At 43.7% G+C, this 27,145-nt stretch overlaps 1 protein-coding gene across 3 annotated transcripts, besides 2 other annotated features; it reads left to right on the forward strand.

Moving 5' to 3' along the window:
* Positions 960–18,168, forward strand: SRGN (serglycin). 3 transcript variants are annotated; one of them, NM_001321053.2, is made up of 4 exons: positions 960–1,017; positions 1,385–1,593; positions 10,441–10,588; positions 17,228–18,162. In NM_001321053.2, exons 2-4 carry the CDS (start codon positions 1,515–1,517, stop codon positions 17,475–17,477), a joined length of 477 nt encoding a protein of 158 aa, NP_001307982.1. In that variant the 5' UTR covers positions 960–1,017; positions 1,385–1,514; the 3' UTR covers positions 17,478–18,162. The 3 variants fall into 3 exon arrangements, with proteins under 3 accessions (NP_001307982.1, NP_001307983.1, NP_002718.2); NM_002727.4 differs by lacking the exon at positions 960–1,017 and having other exon boundaries at positions 1,460–1,593; NM_001321054.1 differs by lacking the exons at positions 960–1,017; positions 10,441–10,588 and having other exon boundaries at positions 17,228–18,168.
* Positions 1,591–2,790: an enhancer, noted in NCBI's record as "MED14-independent group 3 enhancer chr10:70847990-70849189 (GRCh37/hg19 assembly coordinates)". NCBI's record gives its function as "activates an origin of replication core promoter dependent on BRD2, BRD4, P300/CBP and CDK7 cofactors, and independent of MED14, by STARR-seq in HCT116 cells {active_cell/tissue: HCT116}" and the evidence as "EXISTENCE:reporter gene assay evidence [ECO:0000049][PMID:35650434]".
* Positions 3,489–3,668: a silencer, noted in NCBI's record as "silent region_2427". NCBI's record gives its function as "represses an Ori minimal core promoter by ATAC-STARR-seq in GM12878 lymphoblastoid cells {active_cell/tissue: GM12878}" and the evidence as "EXISTENCE:reporter gene assay evidence [ECO:0000049][PMID:35858748]".
* Positions 18,169–27,145: the final 8,977 nt, after the last annotated feature.

Raw genomic sequence — 27,145 nt, forward strand, 5'->3', positions numbered from 1 at the left:
CTGCCTCCCGGGTTCAAGCGATTCTCCTACCCCAGCCTCCCGAGTAGCTGGGACTACAGGCACTCGCCACCACGCCCGGCTAATTTTTTGTATTTTTAGTGGAGACGGGGTTTCACGGTGTTAGCCAGGATGGTCTCGATCTCCTGACCTTGTGATCCACCCACCTCAGCCTCCCAAAGTGCTGGGATTACAGGTGTGGACCACAGCACCTGGCCTTTATTGTATAACTTTAATATGGAGCCTTAGTCCTCCAGAAATCTGCACCATGCCCAGGGAAAATGCTGTTCCTTTATTTACATGAGGCAGAGGTTTGTGTTGTTTGCTGAGGTCCAGCAGCTCACTGTGAGGACAACCTCTCCCTCGTTCCTGATTTCTGGCTTATTCAAGGCCAGAGGACCCAAAACTCGAGTTGAAAATTTTGACTAGGAGAACAGATAAAAATAGAAATGGAATCCATCTTAAGAAATGCTCAATGTGAAGGAGAGGGGAATGCAAAATAGTTTTTCTGTTTTACCACAGTCTTTGTAACTGAAAATCCTATGTTCTTGAGATAGAGAGAGAGCCAATGATCCAATGCAAGAAACTGAGTTTAAGAAGAAACTGTTTGCTGGGCACGGTGGCTCACGCCTGTAATCCCAGCACTTTGGGAGGCTGAGGCAGGCGGATGGCCTGAGGTTGGGAGTTTGAGGCCAGCCTGGCCAACATGGTGACACGTCGTCTCTACTAAAAATACAAAATTAGTCCAGCGCAGTGGTGTACGCCTGTAATCCCAGCTACTCAGGAGGCTGAGGCAGGAGAATTGCTTGAACCCTGGAGATGGAGGTTGCAGTGAGCTGAGATCGCGCCACTGCTCTCCAGCCTGGGTGACAGAGTGAGACTCCATCTCAAAAAAAAAAAAAAAAAAAAAAAAAAGAAGAAAAAGAAGAAGAAGAAACTGTTCATCTGAAATCCGACAACTCATTCTTGAAGGTTAGAGCTCAGCTTTGAAGTTTCACTTCACGAGCTTGGCTCAGTGAGGTATGTTACTCCCCGGTGAAAAAGAAAATGAAGAGAATGTTTTATGTTGAAAGTGCTTGGTGACGAAAAGGCAGCACCTAGATCCCTTATCTCATAAAAAATGCAGCAGATTCTTAATATTAGCAATCTAGTGTTTAGATTGTTACCTGAAGAAAGGAAAAACAAACTGTCCCAAATGCTGATTCTACTGTTTCGGTGGGAAAAAAAAATGTCTTGCAGGCAAGTGGCAAACAACAAAACTTTTGAAAAAGCAGGCCTGGGGGGAGTCCAGTACAGTTTCATAATGGGTATGAATAGTTATTTTACTGTGTTCCCCCCACCCCCTTTCTTTCTGGGTTTTGATGTGGATGTCTTTCTATTTGTTCAGGAAATTGTGACGTGTGTTCTGGGCAGGGTTTGAGGTTTTGGAACATTTTCTAAAAGGGACAGAGAGCACCCTGCTACATTTCCTAATCAAGAAGTTGGCGTGCAGCTGGGAGAGCTAGACTAAGTTGGTCATGATGCAGAAGCTACTCAAATGCAGTCGGCTTGTCCTGGCTCTTGCCCTCATCCTGGTTCTGGAATCCTCAGTTCAAGGTAAGACTCAGGAGTCTTGTTCCCCAGCCATCTTCTCTGTAAGCCCTGTGGTCCATGCAAGTCATTATATTCATTTTAAGGCATAGAATGTATAATATTGTGAGAAAGGAGGCAAAGAAGAAGGATTTGGGGTCGCTGAACCCTTTAATATGAGTTCTGTTAAGTTTGGTACCAAGAAAAATTAAACTCTGTGGCGTGTGCAGTCTTGTAAACTCTTACAATGATTGAAATGTGCTATTTTGGGATGAAAATGTGAGGTTTATAAATTTTAAAAGCTCAAAAAAGGAATCTAGAAAATGACTCCTGTGCCTGTTGCATGGAGGAGATGGCACCTTTGACTGTTGGGGGGTGTCTGCCTACCCCTAAGTGTCTACATCAGCCCCAAGTTTTAGTGCGCTGTGACGGTGTCATTGTTATTTTAACACTGGGAGACGTTATATTCCAATTGGGGTGAATCTGACTGTGTGTATTTTCTTTTCTTTTTTTTTTTTTTAAAGATAAACTTGGTTCTTACTGAAAACTCAATTATGGTTAGACATAGTTCATGTAAAACCTCTCAGATTTTAAAGAGAAGGCCAAATAATTTGGTATTTGTGCTCTTGCTCAGAGAAGCATCATATTCGGAAATATCTTCCTAGGTTTATCTACCATTTAGTGTTGTTTAGTCAGACTGAAACAACTTAAAACCTGTAATGACTAAGACAATGAAAATGATAGGCTTGTAAGAAAAATACAATTTGTTATTCTTTGGCAAATAAGGAATCATGTCTAAATAAGACGGAGGTCATGGCTTGATAGAGAGATGGCTGAACCTATAGTAGAAAAACACTAGGTTCCGCCAAATGGTAAGGGAAATGTTGAGTCACAATGACACACATGTCCTAGATTTGTTTCGTCAAAGCGACTTTTGGTTGTCATGATCTTACTTCCGGTGGAGATGAAATCTTACAGATGATCGCAGAGACATTCATTTTATGTTGGAAATTTATAAAATCATTTTCTTCTAGTTATGCTAATGCTGAAAAAAGAGCAAGTAATGTTTCTGGAACGTTATTAATTTATGTATTTTTAAAATATAAAACATTGTCAATTGTAGGGAACAGGCTTCACTGGGATCTTTTAGGGAATATCTTCAGCTTGATGAAATAATTCCCGAATAGCCAAGTGGTCTGACAAGATCGAGAGTAATGAGGCCCATACTTTAGTACAGTCTTGAATGGCCAGATGGTGCTGGGCATACCCCAACCAGAGATATGTAAGTCTTTATGTTGTCAAAATTTCCCAGAAACATGAATTTCCCACTAAGATTCATTAAGGAAAACTAGAATGAAAACAAAAACGTTCCTTGTATAATATTCATTAGAAAGAAATGAAGAAGGCCGGGCATGGTGGCTCACGCCTGTAATCCCAGCACTTTGAGAGGCCAAGGTAGGCAGATCATGAGGTCAGGAGTTTGAGACCAGCCTGGCCAACATAGTGAAATCCCGTCTCTACCAAAAATACAAAAAAATTAGCCGGGCATGGTGGCACACACCTGTCATCCCAGCTACTCAGGAGGCTGAGGCAGGAGAATTGCTTGAACCTGGGAGGTGGAGGTTGCAGTGAGCTGAGATTGCACCACTGTACTACAGCCTAGGTGACAGTGCAAGACTCTGTCAGAAAGAAAGAAAGAGAGAGAGAGAGAAAGAAAGGAAAGAAAGAAAGAGAAGGAAAGAAAATAATTCATCATGAAATTGTATAGAATACTAGCATTTATGTCATGACCTCGTAGGTTTAGCTCTTTGTTAGAAAAGGAAACCATAGAAAGAGACAAGGGAGAAACTGACAAACTAGGGTGTTTCCGAAAAAAGGCTCTCAGTATCGGGCTCAAGGGCTTGTGCCCACATCTGAGCATGCAGGGAAATAGATGTCCCCCACTGGCTGCACATGTGAGTGACTGCGGCACAAGGCTGTGATGTGAAGAGTCGTGACACCATTTCCTCACACCTCCACGCAATGCCAGATATGATTCGACAACATTCTTCCTGTCTTATAAAAAGTGTTTATCTAGCCCGTTGGTTTGGCAGATGAAATCAACTAGGCTTTTGGCTTGCTTTTACTGAGCATATTCAAAACCATTTCAGGTCACTATAGTGGTTTGCTCGGGTTGCCATAACAAAGTACCACGGACTGAGTGGCTTAAATAACAGAAATGTATTTCCTCACAGTTCTGGAGATGGGAGTCCAAGATCAAGGTGCTGGCAGGGTCGATCGCATTCTGAGGCCTCTCTCCTTGGCTTATAGATGGCGCCTTCTCCCTTGTCTGCACATGGCCTTTCCTCCATGCATCCGTGTCTTAATACCATCTTCTTAGAGGGTCACCAGGCATTGGATCAGGGCCACCCTAATGGCCTCATCTTAACTACCTATATCTGCAATGACCCTATTTCTGAACAATTTCACATTGTGAGATTCTGTGGGTTAGAACTGGAACATATGAATTTGGTGGTGGTATATTTTTATTATAAGTCAAACCCAAGTAAAGATGTGGGGTAAGATTGTGTTTACCAAGCACAAAGAAATGGAAATTTGGGGATGTGTAACTCTGGAGAGCACAGATGACTAATCTATTTAATGTAGGGCTCCAGGGGATTTGATGAGGCCTGTGAATCTTCCACTTTTATTGCCTCTCTTTTCCAATGACACCCATAAAGAAAAAAAATGGAATATCCATGAACAGGTGCAGCCAAGGAGGCCAGGCCCGCCATGTGTCCACTGTATACTGTCTCCTAGCTCACAGGAATGATACTGATCCACTCCTTGTGCTGCTCTTTGTAAAGTGATTTCACATCCATTCTCTGGTAATCATCATCACATTCCCTGTGATGAGGAATTAGCACCAATTATAGAGGAGAAAACTGGATCTGACATTTCTCATCTCATTTGCTCTATACATTAACCTCTTGCAAAAAATTTGTGAGTCTTGCCCAAGACCCATTACAACTAATTAACGGCTGAACTGGTCGTCTGATTTCAAGGCCAGAATTAACTTTCTACTGCAGCTCATGGATCAGAGGTTTTCTTTATTTAAACAAACAAACAAAAAATCCTTTGACCGTAGCCCTTGCTATAACGTTTCCCACTGAGTTGAGGGAGAAATTGAAAGTAAACTTAGGAGCTTTTTATAGCTTGTCAAACCATGCAAGAGTGGGGGAAGCTTATCCATCTTGTGGAATTGATAGACCAGGAGGAAGTAACTCCGGCTTAGATAATGCTACCATTTTGAATAAATCAAATGGTCTTCTTTTCCCCTTCATGGTAGTTGCTGCTTAAGTTTCTCTAACATGCCTGCAGTAAGTTTCCATTAAGAATAGGAAATTAGGCTCGGTACAGTGGCTCACGTCTGTAGTCTTAGCACTTTGGGAGACCGAGGAGTGTGGATCACTTGAGGTCAGGAGTTCAAGACCAGCCTGGCCAACATGGTGAAACCCCCATCTCTACTAAAAATACAAAAATTAGCCAGGCATAGTGGCATGCACCTGTAATCCCAGCTACTCGAGAGGCTGAGGCAGGAGAATCACTTGAACCAGGGAGATGGAGGTTGCAGTGAGCCAAGATCATGCCACTGCACTCCAGCCTGGGCGATAGACTGAGACTCTGTCTCAAAAAAAAAAAAAAAAAAAAAAAAAAAAAGAAAAAGAAAAGAAAAGAAAAAAAAAAGAAATTAGTATATTGTGATTATGTTGAGGGAAAAGTTAGTACCATAATATAAAAAGGTATGGACTATTGGAGAAAGTTGTTTGCTTTGGTAACATTTACTCATAGAAAGTATTTTGGTAAAGCAGGACTCAGGGTGGTGGGGGAGGTGGGCAGTGAGGGATAGGATTCAAATAAAAACCATTCTTTCCCTTGGAATCCACTACACAATTAACCAACAAATCCCATAAGTGGACCTTTTAGGAAGATAACATTTCTATCCATGAGCATAGCCACTATAATCACAAGACATTTATCTCAAGCAAGATAGAGTCAAGATACTCTCACAACCTCAGGGGCTGGAACTGTAAATTTTCACATCCTGCCAACACCCTTGAATAGCTATGTCAAGAATTTAGTGTCTGTAACTTGTTCTTTATTTTAAAGTACATTTAACATCATCGGCCCCAAATTAGATAGGCTTTTGGAGTGGGATCCCTTCTACTTTTGATTTCTTTATAAAATTTTAAAATAGCTTTGTTGAGATAGTGTTCACATACCATACAGTTCACCCATTAAAAGTGTTCAATTCAGTGATTAGGCCAGGTGTGGTGGCTCATGCCTGTAATCCCAGCATTTTGGGAGGCCAAGGCAAGTGGATCACTTGAGGTCAAGAGTTTGAGACTAGCCTGGCCAACATGGTGAGAACTTGTCTCTACTAAAAATACAAAAATTAACTGGGCATGGTGGTGTGCACCTGTAATTCCAGCTACTTGGGAGGCTGAGGCAGGAGAATCACTTGAACCTGGGAGGTGGAGGTTGCAGTGAGCTGAGATTGCACCACTGCACTCCAGCCTGGATGACGGAGCAAGACTCTGTCTCCAAAAAAAAAAAAAAAAAAGTGTTCAATGTTTTTTAGTATATTCACAGAGTCATGCAACCATCACTATAATTGCTTCTAGAACATTTTCATCATCCCCCAAAAGAAAGCCTTCGTTACGAATTTTAATTAGCTGAGATTCTGAACTCTGGGGGAATTTTGTATTCTAGAAATATTTTTTACTAATATGCTACAGTTGTATTTGTCATGCTGGTGAAAAGATGTGGTCTTTCACCTGGATGCTTTCTCATTAAGCATTATTTTTCTGTTTAGCTTCCTGTGTGAGCAAACATTTTCTCAGCTTGATACTCAGTGCATCAGCGGCTTGCAGAAGAGACTGCCTAGGCCTGCTCTGTCCAGTACGGTAGCCACAAGTCACTTGTGGCTACTGAACACTTGAAATGTGGCAAGGCCAAATTGGGACAGGCTGTGAATGCAAAATATACAAGATTTGGAACCCTTAGTATGAAGAAAAGAATGCAAAATATCCCAGTAATAACTTTTACATTGATGATATGTTAAAGGACAATATTTGAATATGTTAGGTTAAATAAAATTAATTTCACCTGTTTCTTTTTACTTTTAAAAATATGGCCGCTGGAACATTTAAAACTCCCTATGTGGTTTGCTTTGTGTTTCTATTGGACAAAGTTGGTCTAGACAGTACAAGGTGTGAAGACACCGCCCTCTGCTGGAGAAGATGCTGGATTTTTATTTCACCTACAGGAAGAGACGTCTAAGTAGCAATTAGATGCTAAACTAATGCTGCCTCAGGAAAGAATCAAAAGAGAAAGAGTGAAACCAGGCCGGGCGCGGTGGCTCACGCCTATAATCTCAGCACTTTGGGAGGCCAAGGCGAGGGGATCACGAGGTCAGGAGATCGAGACCTTCCTGGCTAACCCCGTCTCTATTAAAACTACAAAAAATTAGCCGGGCATGGTGGCACGTGCCTGTAATTCCAGCTAGTCGGGAGGCTGAGGCAGGAGAATAGCTTAAACCCAGGTGGCGGAGGGTGCAGTGAGCTGAGATGTGCCACAGCACTCCAGCCTGGGCAACAGAGCCAGACTCTATCTCAAAATAAGGAAAAATAAAAAAGAAAAGAAAGAAAGTCCATAAATTGAGACTCCTAGAGATACTAAATGGTAGAATGGGAATTTGAATTTAAATTTATAAGATGTTCACTCTCGGAGATCATAGGTCATTGTTGTCCTCCTCCTTTTCATGACAGGAACTAGCAATGAAGAGCTCTGACTATGTGCTAGGTACTACTCTGAGAACCTAACATTTGTATCTCCTTATTAACTCTATTACTGCCCCATCCTACAGATGAGAAAATTGAGGCACAGGAAGTTTAAGTTGGCCAAGATCACACAGCCAGTAAGGGGCAGACATTGAAAGGTCATTTTGCCTGCCTTATCCCCAGCCTCCAGGCAGTGGCAGAGTTAGCTCATTTTGGACAAACAGCTCTCCCAGACCAGACATTGTAAGCTATACTCAGGAATCATAGGAAAGATTATGATAGAATAATATATAGTTACAAAGAAAAGAAAGAAAATCCAATGGGAGAATATTTACTGTTTTCTATATTAAAGTGTTTAATGTTTATGTTTTTAGAGGAATATTGTTTATTATAGCAATTTAGAAAACAAAATGAGAAAAAAAATCACCAAAGATTCTACCTCCAGTTATTTTTGTGTATTTCCTTCCATTTTTCCCCCCATGTCTGTTTATATAATTGAAACTATTATTCATGCAAAGAGGTATTCTGATTTTCTCAGTTATTTTTATTTATTTTTAATTTTGTAAATAAACTTTTTTCTTCTGAGACAGTCTCGCTGTGTCACCCAGGCTGAAGTGCAGCCGTGCAATCTTGGCTCACTGTGACCTCCCAGTCTCAAGCAATCTTCCTGCCTCAGCCTCCTAAGTAGCTGGGACTGCAGATGTGTGCTACCACATCCAGCTAATTTTTAAAATCTTTTTTCTCTTTTTTGGTAGAAATGGGAGTCTCTCTATGTTGCCCAGCCTGTATTGAACTCCTGGGCTCAAGTGATCCTCCCACCTCAGTCTCCCAAAGTGCTGGGATTTCAGGCATGAGCTACCACACCCAACCTAATTTTTATTTTTATTTTATTAAAAAAAAAAGTTTTTGCCTACCCGCCTCTCACCCTCTCACTCATTTTTAAGTATAGGTTTTTCTACAATGCCACATTGTCTTTTCCATAAAAAGTACTTTCGGCCGGGTGTGGTGGCTCACACCTGTAATCCCAGCACTTTGGGAGACTGAGGCGGGTGGATCACCTGAGGTCAGGAGTTCGAGACCAGCCTGGCCAACATGGTGAAACCCCATCCCTACTAAAAATACAAAAATTAGCTGGATATGATTGTGGGCACCTGTCATCCCAGCTACTCGGGAGGCTGAGGCAGGAGAATCGCTTGAACCTGGGAGGCAGAGGTTGCAGTGAGCCGAGATTGTGCCACTGCATCCCAGCCAGGGCAACAGAGCGAGACTTCATCTCAAAAAAAAAAAAAAAAAAGTACTTTTCTTCATTTGGTTAGTATTCTCTTATGAGTTGATGCCTTGTAATTTATCTGAATGTTTTCCATTATTTTGTGGTGAGCTTTAAAACTACCCTTCCTGACTTTCAAGAATCCTAGACATGCTCCTTCTTGCTAGGTAATTATTAGTTGCACTCATTAGAATAAAGTATATGCTTGGAGTGGGGAGGAGATGAACTTTTTGAAGGGCGGTGAAGTATTTCTCACCACCAGGCCTTTGTCTTTGCTAAACTGAGGAAGGAAGATTTTATTTCATTAGCTAACAAAGAACCTCCTATATAGGCCGGGCATGGTGGCTCACGCCTGTAATCCTCACATTTTCAGAGGCCAAGGTGGGTGGATTGCCTGAGCTCAGGAGTTTGAGACCAGCTTGGGCAACATGGCAAAACCCCATCTCTACTAAAAATACTAAAAATTAGCTGGGCGTGGTGGTGAGTGCCTGTAATCCCAGTTACTCCAGAGGGTGAGGCAGAAAAATTGCTTGAACCCGGGAGGTGGAGGTTGCCATGAGCCGAGATCGTGACAGTGCACTCCAGCCTGGGCGACACAGCAAGACTCTCTCTCAATAAAATAAAATAAAATAAATACATAAATAAATCTCCTATATAACCTCATAATATCAGATTTGGAGCCTTTTCCATAGAAATGAAATTCAGAAGAAGCTGAGACTCAGATATTCCAAGCTGCCTGGTGCTCTGTGAATAGAGGAGACTTGTTCTTGTGAAATCTGAGTGCAAAGACACAGGACAAATTGTTATCTACTTTTCATTCCTAAGGATACTGTATGGCCCTAAAACACAAGAACTAGAATTCTGTGATACCACGGGTACTCCACAGTGTGTTCCTTCCCCTTTCTGAACCTGATTTGACTCATCTCTATGAAAAGATGTGGGCTTTGGGGTCAGATGTGGGTTGGAATCCTAGCGCCTGTGTGGCTGCAATTTTCTTTTGTGTAAAATTGAGATAATAGTACAAAAGTAACAACAGTTAATATTATCAAGTGCTTACTGTGTGCCTGGCACTGTGTTAAATTCTCTAAGTGTATTTTCTCATTTAATTTTTGTGATAGGCTTATGACACTATTAGTATCTTCATATTACAGTGAGGGTTCAGAGAAGTTAAGGTTCCATAACTAGTCAGCAGACCTGGGACTTCACTCCAGGCAGCTGATTCCAAAGCCTATTCTAACTTTAAACTGCTACTTTTTGGAGTGTTGTAAGAAGGACAATTTATATAAAATGTTGGCACATAGTGGGTGCTGCTGTTATATGAATGGGCACAAAATCTGTCTACATTTTGCCTTTTACCAAATTTAGAATCTATTTAGTTAAAACCTTCTTAGGGCGGGTGGGGTGCAGTTGCTCATTCCTGTAATCTCAGCACACTGGGAGGCCAAGGCAGGAGGACTGCTTGAGCCCAGGTGTTTGAGACCAGCCTGGGCACATAGTGAGACCCCCATCTCTCCAAAAAACAAACAAACAAACAAAAACAAAACAAAACTAGCTGGGCGTTGTGGTGCCCCTGTATTCCCAGCTACTCAAGAGGCTGGGGTGGGAGAATGGCTTGAGCCCAGGAGTTCAAGGTTGCAGTGAGCTATGATCACAGTACTGCACTCCAGCTTGGGCAGCCGACTGAGACCCTGTCTCGAAAAAAAAATAAAAATAAAAACTTCTTAGGACAGAGTGATTAGAAGCTGTGTAGTAGATACTTAGTAACAATGTGGGTTCCTCGGGCAGGTTATCCTACGCGGAGAGCCAGGTACCAATGGGTGCGCTGCAATCCAGACAGTAATTCTGCAAACTGCCTTGAAGAAAAAGGACCAATGTTCGAACTACTTCCAGGTGAATCCAACAAGATCCCCCGTCTGAGGACTGACCTTTTTCCGTAAGTGGACTTTTCTCTAATTAATTAATTAATTACTTATTTATTTGAGACGGAGTTTCACTTTTCTTGCCCAGGCTGGAGTGCAATGGCGCAATCTTAGCTCACTGCAACCTCCGCCTCCTGGGTTCAAGCGATTCTCCTGCTTCAGCCTCTGGAGCAGCTGGGATTTCAGGCGCCTGCCACCATGCCCAGCTAATTTTTTTTTTTTTTTTTGAGACGGAGTCTCAGTCTGTCGCTCAGGCTGGAGTGCAGTGGCGCAATCTCGGCTCACTGCAAGCTCCACCTCCTGGGTTCACGCCATTCTCCCGCCTCAGCCTCCCGAGTAGCTGGGACTACAGGCACCCGCCACCACGCCCGGCTAATTTTTTTGTATTTTTAGTAGAGACGGGGTTTCACCTTATTAGCCAGGATGGTCTCGATCTCCTGACCTAGTGATCCGCCCGCCTTGACCTCCCAAAATGCTGGGATTACAGGCGTGAGCCACTGCGCCTGGCCTAATTTTTTGTATTATTAGTAGAGACGGGCTTTCATCATCTTGGCCAGGCTGGTCTCAAACTCCTGACCTCAGGTGATCCACCCACCTTGGCCTCCCAAAGTGTTGGGATTACAAGCATGAGCCACTGTACCCGGCCTTTTCTCTAATTTTAAAGTGTCTGTAATTTCACAACCTCTTGGCACAGATGTGGGAGTGTTTTTCTTCAAGCTGTCCAGAGTGTTTTGCTTCGAGCTCTTGCTTTGGTAGTTTGGCTCTTACTCTGCAGTACATGGTAAAAGTGTACTGTATATACTGGCATATGACATGTGCGAGTATACATGATTCACCTATGTTTTTGAAATTTTTTTTGTGGATGGTAGAGAGGAGCATTGAGGACTTTTCATCAACAGGTATTGAAAATGATTGAACATTGTTTTATTTGTGTAAACAGAACACACTATATATAAAAATCCAATAATTAACTGAATGGATAAGCAAAATGTGGTATAAGCATACAAAGGAATATTATTGGGTCATAAAAAGAATGAAGTACTGATACATGCTACAACATAGATAAACCTTGGAAACATTATGCAGAGTGAAGGAAGGCCAGACACCAAAAGCCACATATTGTATGATTCCATTTAGATGAAATGTCCAGAATAGGCAAATCCCTAGAGGCAGAAAGTAGATTAGTGGGTTACAGGGGCTGGGGAAAGGGAGGAATAAGGAGTGACTGCTAATGGGTATGAGGGTTTTTTTTGGAGGAGGTGATTAAAATGTTCTTCTGCCAGGTGTGGTGGCTCATGCCTGTAATCCCAGCACTTTGGGAGGCCGAGGCGGGAGGATTGTTTGAGCCCAGGAGTTTGAGGCCAGCCTGGGCAACATAGTGAGACCCTATCTCTATTTCAAATACATTTTTTATATTAAAAAAATGTTCTTCAAGTAGTTGGTAATTATTTTTAAAAATGGCCAGGTGCAGAGGCTCATGCCTGTAATCCCAGCACCTTGGGAGGCTGAGGTGGGAGGATCCCTTGAGCCCAGGAGGTTTGGGACCAGCCTGGGCCATACAGCAAGACCCTGTCTCTACAAAAAATACAAAAATTAGCTAGGCATAGTGATGTGCACCTGTGGTCCCAGCTACTCGGGAGGCTGAGGTAGGAGAATCTCTTGAGCCTATGTTGAGCCTGCAGTGAACCCTATTTATGCCATTGCACTCCAGCCTAGGCAACAGAGTAAGACTCTGTCTCAAAAAAAGAAAAAAAAAATTAGGGAAAGGAAGAATAATTAGCCAAGACTTGTAAAACAAAAATCAAATCTCTTCTTTTGATCACATAAAACTTGCTTTAAACTTGCAAAAAAGACCTGATATAAATTCATAAGTAACAAAAAATTGAATTATATTAGAAACCATTAATTCAATGAATACTAAAGCTATGTAGGATGTAGCAAAATATACATATTAAGAAAAGGATTATCATAAAAGTTTTAATCTCCAGGCTCAAACCTAGAAAATCACTCTCCTCAAAGCCAGGGTTAATCATCATGCTCCAAACCAGGTACATTTCACATCACTTTGGGATCCTGGCAACTTTCTCTTTTGTTTTTTTTTTTTTTTGAGACAGGGTCTCCTCTGTCACCCAGGATGGAGTGCAGTGGTGTGATCATAGCTCACTGCAGCCTCGAACTCCTCAAGTGATCTTCCTGCCTCAGCCTCCCAAGTAGCGGGACCACAGGCACACAGCACCATGCCCATCTAATTAAAAAAATTTTTTTTTGTAGAGACAGGGGTCTCTGTACATTTCCCAGGCTGGTCATGTACTCCTAAACTCAAGCAGTCCTCCCACCTCAGCCTCCCAAAGTGCCGGAATTACAGTCATGAGCCACCATTCCCAGCGCTGGTGACTTTCTCCATCACTGGTGACTTTCTCCATCACTGGTATTCACTGCATTAGTGATGACATCATTACAATCTTCAATATGCAACTTTGTAGTCCTACTCTTGCATTCTTACTTTAAAGCCTCAGCATTAAGTTTGAATGTAATATTACAGCATCCTTCATTACTTTAAATCATTGGTTTCAATAGTAATTCATTTAAATCTAAAATGTTAGGCTGCAGTGGCTCATGCCTGTAATCCCCCCAGTTTGGGAGACTGAGGTGGGAGAATCACTTGAGGCCAAGAATTTGAGACCAGCCTGGGCAACACGGCAAGACCCCATCTCTAAAAATTAGTGGCCCGGCGCTGTGCCTCACGCCTGTAATCCCAACACTTTGGGAGGCCGAGGCGGATAGCTTGAGGTCAGGAGTTCAAGATCAGCCTGGCCAACATGGCGGAAACCCATTTCTACTAAAAATACAAAAATTAGCTGGGCATGGTGGCACGCCTGTAATCCCAGCTATTGAGAGGCCGAGGCAGGCAGACTGGGAGGCCAAGGCAGGCAGATTGCTTTGAGACCTGCCTGGGTAACATGGAGAAATCCTGTCTCTACAGAAAAATACAAAAATTAGCCAAGCATGGAGAAACCTCGTCTCTATAGAAAGACACAAAAACTAGCCATGCATGCCTGTGGTCCAGCTACTCGAAAGGCTGAGGTGGGAGGATTGCTTGATCCTGAGAGGTCAAGGCTGAAGTGAGCCATGGTGTGGCACTGCACTCCAGCCAGGGTGACAGACTAAAACCTTGTCTCAAAATAAATAAACACATTTAAAATAAATAAATACAATTAAAACTAAAATTAAAAAATAAAATAAAATGTTAAGAGAATAGCTCAAATTCTCCAAAAGAACTCTTGCACACCATTCCTCCTCTTCTCAAATCTCTATTTTCCTTCCCCAAAGCCAGTAACTGCTTCTCACCCTGACCCTGTGCTTTCTTTCCCGTCATTGCGAAAGAATGGTCCTTGCTTCTGTGCTGATCCCAAACCCTTTTGCCCTCAGATCCTCCTGTCCTTCCCTGGCCCTGCTCTGTATTGGCTGTGGGGTGGGGGTGGCGGTGGAACTGACCCCTGGCGTCTGCATTTCTCAGGCTCCCAGGGCTGTGGCTGACTTTGGCCAATGGGAGGCAAGGACGGGAGACTGAGAGCTTGGGAGGAAGGGAGAGAGGTATGTTTCTTCTCCTTACTCCCTGCCTGGGATGGCACCTTGGGCAGGACTCTGTTTTGCCCATGGCCTCAGCTCCCACCAGATGCCTCTAGTCCCTGGGCTCAGGAAATAGACAACCTCCTTCCACTATCGCTGTAGCCCAAGGAGGGAAGTATTTTTTTCTTTCTTTCTTTCTTTTTTTTTTTTTTTTTACAGAGTCTCACTCTTGTTGCCCAGGCTGGAGTGCAGTGGTGCGATCTCAGCTCACTGCCACCTCTGCCTCCCGGGTTCAAGTGATTCTCCTGCCTCAGCCTCCAGGGTGTGCCACTATGCCCAGCTAATTTTTGTATTTTTGGTAGAGACGGGGTTTTGCCATGTTGACCAGGCTGGTCTTGAACTTCTGACCCCAAATGATCTGCCTGCCTCGTCCTCCCAAAGTGCTGGGATTACAGGCATGAGCCACTGTGCCTGGCCGAAGGAAATATTTTCTTGCTATTGCTAATCTCTGGGTTACCTCGCTATCCCCCATTTAGCTTCACTTCTCCTCCATCACCTGTATGAGGAATTCCCTCTGTGTTAAATATCTGGAGAAGTTTCCTGATTGGACCCTGGCTGTTGCAGCTTCCAAGGCCACCTCTCTTTGTGGCTGGTATCCTTTTCCCATGCATCTTCTCCAGGACTTCCATTCTGCAGTTATCTCTCTGAACTCAGTGTCTTCTTCCCATCAGTATAGGGGTGGACTTTAGTATCTCCTATGTTTAGGCAACATCTCTCCTTTGACTCTGCGTCTTCTCCAGTGGTTGCCCTTCTCTGCTCCTCTTCACAATAACACCTCCTGAAAGGGCCACCCATGCCTGCCCCCTCCTTTCCTCACCCCCTCTGTGGCTGGACTTCTGTTCCTACACTCCACCCTGGTTGACAAAGTCACTGATTACTTCTCTATTTTCAGCTTACTTGATCCTTAATTGCCTTCAAAAACAGCTAACTGGGCCATGCATGTAATCCCAGCACTTCGGGAGGCCAAGGCAGGAGGATCACTTGAGCCCAGGAGTTCAGGACCAGCCTGCCTGGGCAACATAGTGAGACCCTATCTACAAAAAATAGAAAAATTAGCCGGGCGTTGTGACTCATGCTTGTGGTCCCAGCTACAAAGGAAGCTGAGGTGGGAGGATGGCTTGAGTCCGGGAGGGTGAGGCTGCAGTGAGCCATGATCACGCCACTGCACTCCAGCCTGCACAACAGAAGGAGGCCCTTTCTGTAAAAAAAAAAATGGTTGACCACTCCTTCCTTGAAATGCTTTTTTCTTGAGGCTTCCATGCCCTGCCTTATCCTGTTTCTTCCTACTTCTCTGGTTGTGCTTTTTCCTCTGCTCAGTATTTAACATGTTGGTGTGACCCTGGCTCTGGCCTGGGCCCCCTTCTCTATCTACATGCTTTCTCTCGACGACCTCCATCGGTTGCATGGGTTTAACTACCAAATCTGTGATTCTAGCTCCGACACCCCAGGCTAAAGTAGCCACCTGGTCACTCCCTATTACATTGGTCAATTTCATTTCTCTGTGCCACCTATGATTTTCCTGATTTATTTATTCACTTTTCATTGTCTGTCTTCCCCACTAAAATAAAAACTTCTTGAGAAGGGGCTTCATCGATCTGCCTCTGTTCTATCCCAGGCCCTCAAAACAAGGACCAGATATTCAACAAATATTTATTGAATGCGTACATGAATTAAAACTCTAATTGGTTGTATGCTGGTGGTTTATTATTTTCATGGAGGAAATGACTTGTAGGCTGTGACACTCAGCTTTTGTCTCTGATGCTTTGTTGCCCTGTTCTGTCACCGAGGGCTGTCGTCATTGCTCTGGCCATTTTGTGCTCTTTGAATTTCTAATCATCACACTCAACCCAGAAGGCAGCCTTACCTTTCAGCACTCTTCAGCTGAATGAGTGCAAGTTGGAGGCAGGGTCATTTTTTGATAGGAAATTGAATGTTTATATGCTGGTAAATATAAAGCTTAGCTTTTTACAAAGAATTTCTCAAAAGTGAGCTTTGTTGAAGCCCTGTAAATTGTTAGAACTTTTATGGAAATTTTAATTTAGGAAAAAATGTCATCTGTTTGGGCTGACTTAGTTGTTAGTTGTTTGTCCTTTCTTTTTTTTGGTGGAGGGTATGGAGTTTTGCTCTTGTAACCCAGGCTGGAGTGCAGTGGCGCGATCTCGGCTCACTGCAACCTCCGCCTCCTGGGTTCAAGCGATTCTCTCACCTCAGCCTTCCGAGTAGCTGGGATTACAGGCATGCACCACCACACTTGGCTAATTTTTGTATTTTAAGTAGAGACCGGGTTTCACTATGTTGGTCAGGCTGGTTTCGAACTCCTGACCTCAAGTGATCACCCACCTTGGCCTCCCAAAGTGCTTGGATTACAGACATGAGCCACCACACCCGGCCAAGAGGACTTCTTTTAAAAATGATTTCTTGGGCCGGGTGCAGTGGCTCACACCTGTAATCCCAGCACTTTGGGAGGTGGGTGGTTCACAAGGTCAGGAGTTTGAGATCAGCCTGGCCAATATGGTGAAACTCCATCTCTACTAAAAATACAAAAATTAGCCAGGCATGGTGGCGCACCCCTGTTGTCCCAGCTACTCGGGAGGCTGAGGCAGGAGAATCACTTGAACCTGGGAGGTGGAGGTTGCAGTGAGCCGAGATGGCACCACTGCACTCCAGCCTGGGCAACAGAGCAAGACTCTGCCTCCAAAAATAAAAATTAAAATGATTTCTTAAGTAAATTTCAAATATAGAATGTATATGCTAGTGATAACAAAATTAACACTGTTTATGCAAGTCTGCAATAGGTAGATGTGAAGTTGATAGGTGCAATAAGTATAGGCAAACACATAGGAACATTTGACCTGTTTTTTTGTTGATTTTAAAACATTGAATAATTGGGAAGCTTTTAAATCTCTTAATTTGAGCAACTAGATGGCTGTATTTATCTCCTTATATTAAAAAAACTATTATAATTATCTTTCCCACATATCAAACTCCACTGGTTTTTTTCCCATTTTTCTTTCATACTTCAGAAAGACGAGAATCCAGGACTTGAATCGTATCTTCCCACTTTCTGAGGACTACTCTGGATCAGGCTTCGGCTCCGGCTCCGGCTCTGGATCAGGATCTGGGAGTGGCTTCCTAACGGAAATGGAACAGGATTACCAACTAGTAGACGAAAGTGATGCTTTCCATGACAACCTTAGGTCTCTTGACAGGAATCTGCCCTCAGACAGCCAGGACTTGGGTCAACATGGATTAGAAGAGGATTTTATGTTATAAAAGAGGATTTTCCCACCTTGACACCAGGCAATGTAGTTAGCATATTTTATGTACCATGGTTATATGATTAATCTTGGGACAAAGAATTTTATAGAAATTTTTAAACATCTGAAAAAGAAGCTTAAGTTTTATCATCCTTTTTTTTCTCATGAATTCTTAAAGGATTATGCTTTAATGCTGTTATCTATTTTATTGTTCTTGAAAATACCTGCATTTTTTGGTATCATGTTCAACCAACATCATTATGAAATTAATTAGATTCCCATGGCCATAAAATGGCTTTAAAGAATATATATATATTTTTAAAGTAGCTTGAGAAGCAAATTGGCAGGTAATATTTCATACCTAAATTAAGACTCTGACTTGGATTGTGAATTATAATGATATGCCCCTTTTCTTATAAAAACAAAAAAAAAAATAATGAAACACAGTGAATTTGTAGAGTGGGGGTATTTGACATATTTTACAGGGTGGAGTGTACTATATACTATTACCTTTGAATGTGTTTGCAGAGCTAGTGGATGTGTTTGTCTACAAGTATGATTGCTGTTACATAACACCCCAAATTAACTCCCAAATTAAAACACAGTTGTGCTGTCAATACCTCATACTGCTTTACCTTTTTTTCCTGGATATCTGTGTATTTTCAAATGTTACTATATATTAAAGCAGAAATATAACCAAAGGTTAAGCTGTCTCGGATCTGTTGTTCTAAACCCAGGAAACAGTTATTTTTGGCCAGACGTTTCTCCAGAAGTCTTATCAACAAAACAACTTTAAACGTATTCTACAGTAAACACAAGTTTTGTAACCAGAATCAAATCATACTAACTAGCAAATGAAGAAAGCAATGATGCCTTAGCAAGAGGGTTATATATCTCAAAGCACTTCCTCACCTGAAAGATAGTTCCATCTCTGTTCCCCTTAGTTCTGAAAAGCCCCCTTACATCACCATCCTGGATTCTGTTCTGTACTGTCCAGATCCCAGCTCCAGAACTGAGTACTTACTCAAATTAATCTCCTCAGGAGAGAGCCACCTTGCCCAAGGTCATGCTGCTTTGCAGGGCAGCCTGCATCCAGTGACTGGCTGATGTGGGCATATCAAGGCCTGAACTCAGAATAGTCATACAGATTCAAAACTCCCCACAGGATCAGCTCCAGTTTTGCTGGGACTACTTTGTAGCTCAGTTTCTTCTTTACTCAATTTTACTTCCTTCCATTCCGCTCATAGGTTTCTATCCTGAGAGTGCTCCCTTAGAAATTTTCTGCTAGTTTCCATCTCAGAATTTGCTTCTAGGAGAACACAACTTGTGACAGGTTGTGCCAGGAGGGATAAGAAATGGATGCTAAGATGGGATTTTGGAGCTAGATTGCCTGCTGTCTGGCTGGCAATGAGGACTCCATCCTTGGCCATAGATGAGCACAGGCACAAGATAGCAGTGCAATTGTTAAAACTTTCACTGGTGATGAACCAAGATGGTATACCAGTGGAAGGGAGTGCACTAGGGTGTGATGTACTAGGCATCTGAGAAATGTTGGCAAGTAGTAATAATAAAGACAATGGTATTGGTTGGCTATTGCTGGACTTAATTAATGCTTTTGAAAAAGACAATGAAAGGCTAAGGACAATTAATTAAAAGCTAAATGTGAAAACCATTGGGCCTCCTTGGCAGCATATTAAGAAACTCTCTTCTGTAATAGAAGGAATTAAAAAGCTGAGGACCAGGCCCAGGACTTATGAGAATAGCAGATGGCTGGGTGTGGTGGCTCACGCCTGCAATCCCAACGCTTTGGGGGGCTGAGGCAGGTGGATCACCTGAGGTCAGGAGTTTGAGATCAGCCTGGCCAACATGGCGAAACACTGTCTCTACTAAAAATACAAAAATTAGCCAGGTGTGGTGACAGGCATCTATAATCCCAGCTACTCCGGAGGCTGAAGCAGGAGAATTGCTTGAACCTAGGAGGTTCAAACCTGGGAGGTTGCAGTGAGCTGAGATCATGTCACTGCAATCCAGCCTGGGTGACAGAGGGAGACTCTATCTCAAAAAAAAAAAAAAAATAGCAGAGTTCCAAGAATATTAAATTGTCAGCTTAGCCCAGTCTGTTATGCAAGCTCAGAGTCCTTACTGGGGAAAAATAGGACCCTGAGAGATGGAAACATCTGGGCTGATACATTCAAGTTTTAAATCCTCAGATTCCTTTGAACCTCTGAATCTACAGAAGAGTCCCATGCTTTAAGGACCGATGCTGGCCAGGTGTGGTGGCTCATGCTTGTAATCCCAGTACTTTGGGAGGCTGAGGCGGGCAGATCACTTGAGGTCAGGAGTTCAAGACCAGCCTGGCCAACACAGTGAAACCCTGTCTCTACTAAAAATACAAAAATTAGCTGGTTGTGGTGGCGAGCACCTGTAATCCTACTCGGCAGGCTGAGGTATGAGAATCACTTGAACCTGGGAGGTGGAGTTTGCAATGAGCCGAGATCACGCCACTGCACTCCAGCCTGGGTGACAGAGCGAGACTCTGTCTCAAAAAAAAAAAAAAAAAAAAAAAACAAAACAAAAAACAGCAATCAAAAAACAAAAAAACTAGTGCTTTCCTGTTGAAGACAATCAAGAGGCCTCTACCCTTAAAGACAACACTCACTCTCCTTCAAGATCTGTCCCCACCTCCCTTCCTAGACAGCAGATAAATATCAAAGTTAAGTCAGTATAAACCAACAGGGGAGTTTTGGGCTTGCTCAGGAGGAAAGGTAAAATACTCTGAAAGTTCTGTAGAACTTAGCTAACGTGGACCTTAAAAGCTAAGAGGGTGTCTGTAAGACTTAACTCTGGAAGTCCTTGATCCAGGGACGGAGATAGAACACAAACTTGGATAAGGGAGTGTTTAGCAATGTGAGTGTACCCTCCTGGGATACAGGTTTTAATGCCCTGGCAAGAACCCTGGGAGAAGGTGTTGAGACTCTGCTAAAATGACTCTTAGACACTTGGAGAAAGTGACAGCCCACACTTAAGTGAAGTGGAAATACTAGAATTGTCATGCCAGGCAGTGGAAAAAGGGGTCAATAGGATTAAGGAAATGCACATGATAGAATGAATGGACTATATAAGCCTTGCAAACCCACCAGATGACTGTCTTGCAGGAAGGCCAAAGCAATAAAGAATAGCCTGGTGAGAGCAATCAGCACCTCTGAGCCATCTGCAGTGGCTTTCCTCTGAAAGGCAGGGCTGATGTTGTTACATAACTGGGCTTATTAATAGCAGTGGGAATAAAGGGTACCAAAATAATAGAGACCAGGTGGTAGTGCTCAACCATCAGAAGCCAAGAGGTGCAGTTACCTTTTTTTTTTTTTTTTTGGAAATGGAGTCTCACTCTGTTGCCCAGGCTGGAGTGCAATGGCGAGATCTCAGCTCACTGCAACCTCCGCCTCCTGGGTTCAAGCAATTCTCCTGCCTCAGCCTCCTGAGTAGCTGGGACTACAGGCACACGCTGCCACACCTGGCTAATTTTTTTTTTTTTTTTTTTGTATTTTAGTAGAGATCACCGTGTTGCCCAGGCTGGTCTCGAACTCCCGAGCTCAGGCAATTTGCCTGCCTTGGACTCCCAAAGTGCTAGGATTACAGGCATGAGCCACCGCGTCCAGCCAAGAAGCCAAGAGGTGCAGTTATCTTAATGAGCAGCAAGGTCAGAGATGTATCCAGGGGAGCCTCATGGGCACTGAGATAGGAGATGGCATCTCTAGAGGCAATGTAGTTGCACAGCCAGCAAAAGTATTGCTCAATCTATTGTATTAAGCAGGGTTTGCCAGAGAGACAGAACCACTAGGACATATACTTAGATATATGAGAGGAGGTTTATTAGGGCAATTGGCTCATGTGATGGTGGAGGCCATCTGCAAGCTGGAGAACCAAGGAAGCTGGTAGCATAGCTCAGTCCAAGTCCAAAGGCCTTGGACCAGGGATCCAGGGATATGGCAGATCTTCCGCACCTGGTCTACCAACTCACACTCTAATCTCCTGACGAAATAACTTCACAGATACACCCAGAAATAATGCTTTACCTCCTATCTAGGTATCCCTTAATCCAGTGAAGTTGACATCTAAAATTAACCACCACATTATTCAACCAGAAAGATCAAGATGGTCAGGAGGCATAGGGCAATTGCCTCAATAAAAAAACACTATGGTGGCTGGGCGTGGTGGCTCATGCCTATAGTCCCAGCACTTTGGGAGGCCAAGATGGGCGGATCACGAGATCAGGAGTTGGAGACCAGCCTGACCAACATGGTGAAACCCCATGTTTACTAAAAATACAAAAATTAGCCGGGTATGGTGGTACGCGCCGGGTGTGGTGGCTCACACCTGTAATCTCAGCACTTTGGGAGACTGAGGCAGGTGGATTACAAGGTCAGGAGTTCAAGACCAGCCTGGCCAAGATGGTGAAACCCCGTCTCTACTAAAAATACACAAATTAGCTGGGCGTGGCGGCAGGGTCCTGTAATCCCAGCTACTCAGGACGCTGAGGCAAGAGAATCGCTTGAACCCGGGGGACGGAGGTTGCAGTGAGCCGAGATCGAGCCACTGCACTCCAGCCTGGGCGACAGAGTGAGACTCTGTCTCAAAAAAACAAAAACAAAAACAAAACAAAACAAAAAACAAAGAACGCAGGAATGCTGGTCCCCAATGCACCTCCATTTAATTCACCAGTCTGGGCCTCACAAAAAGCAAATGGAGAGTGCTAGTGGACTATTACAAATTCAACCGAGTACAGAGGGTCCCCAACTTACAATGATTTGACTTAATGATTCTTTGACTTTATGATAGTGTGAAAGTGACACACATTCAGTAGAAACTAAATTTCAATTTTTGAATTTTGACATTTTCCCAGGTTAGTGATATGTGATGTGATGCTCTCTGGCGGTGTTGGGCAGCACTAGCGAGCATGGTTTTTCGCTTTCAGTATTCAATACATTACATGAGACATTAAAACTCTTTATTACAAAATAGGCTTTCTATTAGATTATTTTCCCCAACTGTAAGCTAATGTAAGTGTTCTGAGCATACTTAAAGTAGGCTAGGCTAAATAAACTATGATGTTTGATACGTTAGGTGTATTTAATGTGTTTTTGACTTAAGATATTTTTGGCTGGGTGTGGTGGCTCACGCCTGTAATCTCAGCACTTTGGGAGGCCGAGGTAGGCGGATCACCTGAGGTCAGGAGTTCGAGACCAGCCTGGCCAATATGAAACCTTGTCTCTACTAAAAATAGAAAAACTAGCTGGGTGCGGTGGTGCACACCTGTAATCCCAGCTACTCCGGAGGCTGAGATAGGAGAATTGCTTGAACCTGGGAGGCGGAGGTTGCAGTGAGCGAAGACTGCGCCACTGCACTCTAGCCTGGGAGACAGAGTGAGACTCAGACTCAAAAATAAATAAATAAATAAATAAATAAATATTTTCAATTTATGATGGGTTTATTGGGATGTAACCCCACTGTAAGTTGAGGTGCATCTGTAGTAGCTCTATTGAAGCAGCATCCCCAGGTGGAACACTTTTGCTAGAGCAGAGTTACATAGCTTTAGATACCTAATAGTCATTTATTTGACAAATGCTTTCTTTTATATCCCTATCAAAAAAAGAGGATAAGGCTGGGCACAGTGGCTCATGCCTATAATCCCAGCACTTTAGGAGGCTGAGGTGGGAGAATCACTTGAACCCAGGAGTTCGAGACCAGCCTGGGAAATATAGCGAGACCTCATCTCTCCATTTTTTAAAAGAGGATCAGAGGCCAGGCGCAGTGGCTCATGCCTGTAATCCTAGCATTGGGAGGCCAAGGTGGATGGATGGCTTGAGCTCAAGAGTTCAAGACCAACCTGGGCAACATGGTGAAACTCTGTCTCTACAAAAAATACAAAAATTAGCCAGTTGTAGTGGCATGCGCCTGTAGTCCCAGCTACTCAGGCAGATGAGGTGGAAGGTTGGCTTGAGCCTGGGAGGTAGAGGTTGCAGTGACCTGAGATTGCGCCACTGCACTCCAGCCTGGGCAACAGAGCCAGACCCTGTCAAAAAAAAAAAGAAAAGAAAAGAAAAAAGAGGATCAGAAAGAGTTTACGTACTCTTGGAACAGACGGCAGTATATTTACAGTCTATTCCCAGGACTATTTTAACTCTCCCACTCTTTGTCATAGTACCATCTAAAGAGACCTGAACTGGCTGGACATCTCACAGAAAATCACAGTGGTCACTGACCAGACCCCCATGTCATTGCCACTGATGCACCAGCATTTCTTCCTGGGCTCACATCTATGACTGTATGAGGGCTTCCTAATGACCAACTGCCAGGATAGGAATAAACTCCAGCTTGGTTCACACATGGATTGGTCTGGTATATGGGAGCAAGCCAAAAGTGGATGTCAGCTACACTACAATGCCATTCAGGAGTGGACTTGAAAAGCAGCTTTGAGGGGAAATCCTCCCAGTGAGCAGGAGCATTGGGTGGTGCTCCTGGCCATCCACTCTGTGTAGAGAGAGAAGTAGCCTGAGGTTGGAAGATACTCATTTGCATGGACTGTGGTGACTGTTTTGCCCAGTTGATAAGGGGTCTAAAACAGAAAGATTGGAAGATTGGGCACGAAGCAGCTCAGGGTAAAGGCATGTGGATGGACCAATGAGAGAAGACAAAGTGTGAAGATGTACGTATCAAATGTGAATGCCCACCAGAAAACATCCATCACAGAAGAGGCACTAAACAACCAGGTAGACAAAATGACTTGGACAGATGTCAGTCAGCCTCTGTCATGGGCCACCCTAAAACTGGCACAATGAGCTTAGGAAGGAGTGGCCACAGTGGCAGTGATGGAGGCCACACATGGGCTCCCGCTGACCAAGATTGATCCAGCTACTGATGTTGCCAAATGTCCAGTATGCTAGCAACAGAGCTCATTGCTGAGCCACTGATATGGCACTATCCCTGAAGGAGACTTTGGTGGCTAGTTGACTACATTAGGTCCCTTCCATCATGGAAGGGCCAGAGATTTGTTTGAACAGTGATAGAGATGTATTTCAGGTATGTGTTTGCCTTTCCTGCTCAGGGGATGTCTAACACTAAAATCTAAGGACTTACAGAGTATGTTTGATTTATCAACAGGGTTTTGCATATAACATCACATCACAGCATAACAGCAGGAGATGCAGCAGTGGGCACACGACCATGGGCTCCACTGGTTTTATCACCCACCACATCACCTCAGTGCCCTCAACATGACAGAATGTTGGAAGGGCCTGTTGAGGGCACAGCTGAGGCAATGCTTGGCTATGATACACTGAGGTTGGCGTCACAACCTTCGGGATGCAGTTTACATGCTAGATCAGTAACCTTTATATGGTGCTGTGTCCTTAATAGGTAGAATACATGGGTCCAGGAACCAAGGAGTGGAAGTACAAAAGGACTCAACATCGAAACTACGTGGGGTGTTTAGCTGGACACAATGGCTCAGGTCTGCAATCCCAGTTACTTGGGAGGCTGGGGTGGGAGGATTGCTTGAGGCCAGGAGTTCAAGAGCAGCCTGGACAACATAAAAGACCCTGTCCCCTTATCTAACAAATAAAACAAAACACCACTTGTGGAATTTATTCTTCCTATTACCGCAACCCTGAGTTTTGCATATTTAGATGTTATGATTCCCTGTGGGAAATGTTTCCACCGGGGGACATGGTAAGTGTCGTACTGAACTTTAAGCTATGGCATCTTAAGCTCTTTTTGGCAAGGGATGAATGGTCAAGAAGTCACCATCTTGGCGGGGGCTATGAACCTGATTATCAAGAGGCAGGGCTGCTGCTACACAGTGGGGACAGGGAGGCCTACGCTTGACACCCAAGTGATCCACTGAGGCTTCTCTGAGTATTTCGAAGAAGTACTAATGGTTTAATGGTAAATGGATAAATACAGCAGCCAGGCCTGAGAAGAACCTGCCAACTAGGGGCTCAGATCCTCATGGCTGAAGGTCTGGGTCAATCCTCCAACTATGCTATCTAGACTAGCAGAGGTGTTAGCCAAGGGTGAGAGAAATCTAGAATTGATAGTAGAGGAGGCATTTAATGAGTATCCATTGTAGTCTTGATACCAGCTGCAGTGGCAGTGGCTGCAATTCATTCCACTGACCTTTCTCCAGGAAAAGAGCCCTGCAGTATCCTGAAAGAGCTGTTCCCAGAATTTATATGAAGCAAAAAGATCTAAGTGGCACAAGGGGTAAACTGTTACGAATGCTGTGCTGTGTTACCGAGATTCCCCCTTTGGGACTGGAAGATCTGTTCCCTCGGCCACAGGAAAGGTTGGCTGACGGCTGCAAGTTCTTAGATGCAGAGAGCCAGTTCATCCAAGGTCATGCTCCCTTCTCATGGACAGCTCACAGTCAAAGACTCATCTATGTGGGGGTATAGAGTCTCAGAGCTCATGCTCCACTTGGAACAACTCAGAAGAAACACCCCAACTTCAGAACTCTCTATTTGGTCAGCTGATGCCTTGTGATTATACTGCAGCTCAATTTATTCCTCTCTAATCCTGTTTCCTTCTCGTTCTGCACAGGTGTTTATCCTAAGGCAACTCCATCATTAACTTCCTCCATGCTATTCATCCTCTCAGAGTTTGCTTCTCATAGAACACAACTCATAGGAATATGTTTATAGCATTTTACTTTTGGTGACAGTTGTAAATTATACCCTGATCTTTCTGTTAATAAATCTGAGATTATTTAACAGGAACTTAGTTAGTTTTATGCCCAATGGGGTATTACTGTCAAGAGGCCTATTTTTGGCTTCCACATGATACAGCAGAGAAAACAAGGCACGTTTTAGAAAATACACCTGTTGCTTTGTATCACTAGTTAAGTGCTAGGTTTTACACCTTTAAAGGAGAGGTAGGTAGTCTAGGTTTTAAAACATGACATTCTTTTTTTTTTTTGAGACAGAGTCTCGCTCTGTCGCCCAGGCTGGAGTGCAGTGGCGCCATCTCGGCTCACTGCAAGCTCCGCCTCCCGGGTTCACGCCACTCTCCTGCCTCAGCCTCCCGAGTAGCTGGGACTACAGGCGCCCGCCACCACGTCCGGCTAATTTTTTTGTACTTTTAGTACAGACGGGGTTTCACCGTGTTAGCCAGGATGGTCTCGATCTCCTGACCTAGTGATCCACCCGCCTTGGCCTCCCAAAGTGCTGGGATTACAGGCTTGAGCCACTGCGCCCGGCCAATGACATTCTTGTTAAAAAAGATCTTAAACTTGCCACAAAGAAACTGTAGAATATTTCTGTTTTGTAGAAAGAGTTTGAGTTTTAGCATTGCAAAGTCCTGGCTTAAATACCAGTTTTACTCTTTATTAGCTGTGTAAGTTTAGACAACTAGCCTAATTTAGCTAAGCTTGTCTAGGGAGAGCAGTATAGTAAGGGGTTAATTGTGTGGACTCCAGAGCCAGATCATCTGGATTGAAAGTTCTGTTGGCCGGCCGCAGTGGCTCATGCCTGTAATCCCAGCACTTTGGGAGGCCGAGGAGGGGCGGATCACGAGGTCAGGAGATCGAAACCAACCTGGCCAACATAGTGAAACCCCATCTCTACTAAAAATACAAAAATTAGCCGGGTGTGGTGGCACGTGCCTGTAATCCCAGTTACTTGGGAGGCTGAG

This window comes from Homo sapiens, chromosome 10 (genome assembly GCF_000001405.40).
Source record: "Homo sapiens chromosome 10, GRCh38.p14 Primary Assembly".
Lineage (NCBI taxonomy): Eukaryota > Metazoa > Chordata > Mammalia > Primates > Hominidae > Homo > Homo sapiens.

What these genes read in the sequence shown, in the direction of transcription:
- SRGN (NM_001321053.2), top strand. Translation starts at nt 1,515, where the DNA reads ATGATGCAGAAGCTACTCAAATGCAGTCGGCTTGTCCTGGCTCTTGCC. An exon ending in TCTGGAATCCTCAGTTCAAG is followed by an intron (nt 1,594 to 10,440) that starts GTAAGACTCAGG and finishes TTCCTCGGGCAG; the next exon opens with GTTATCCTACGCGGAGAGCC. An exon ending in CTGAGGACTGACCTTTTTCC is followed by an intron (nt 10,589 to 17,227) that starts GTAAGTGGACTT and finishes TTCATACTTCAG; the next exon opens with AAAGACGAGAATCCAGGACT.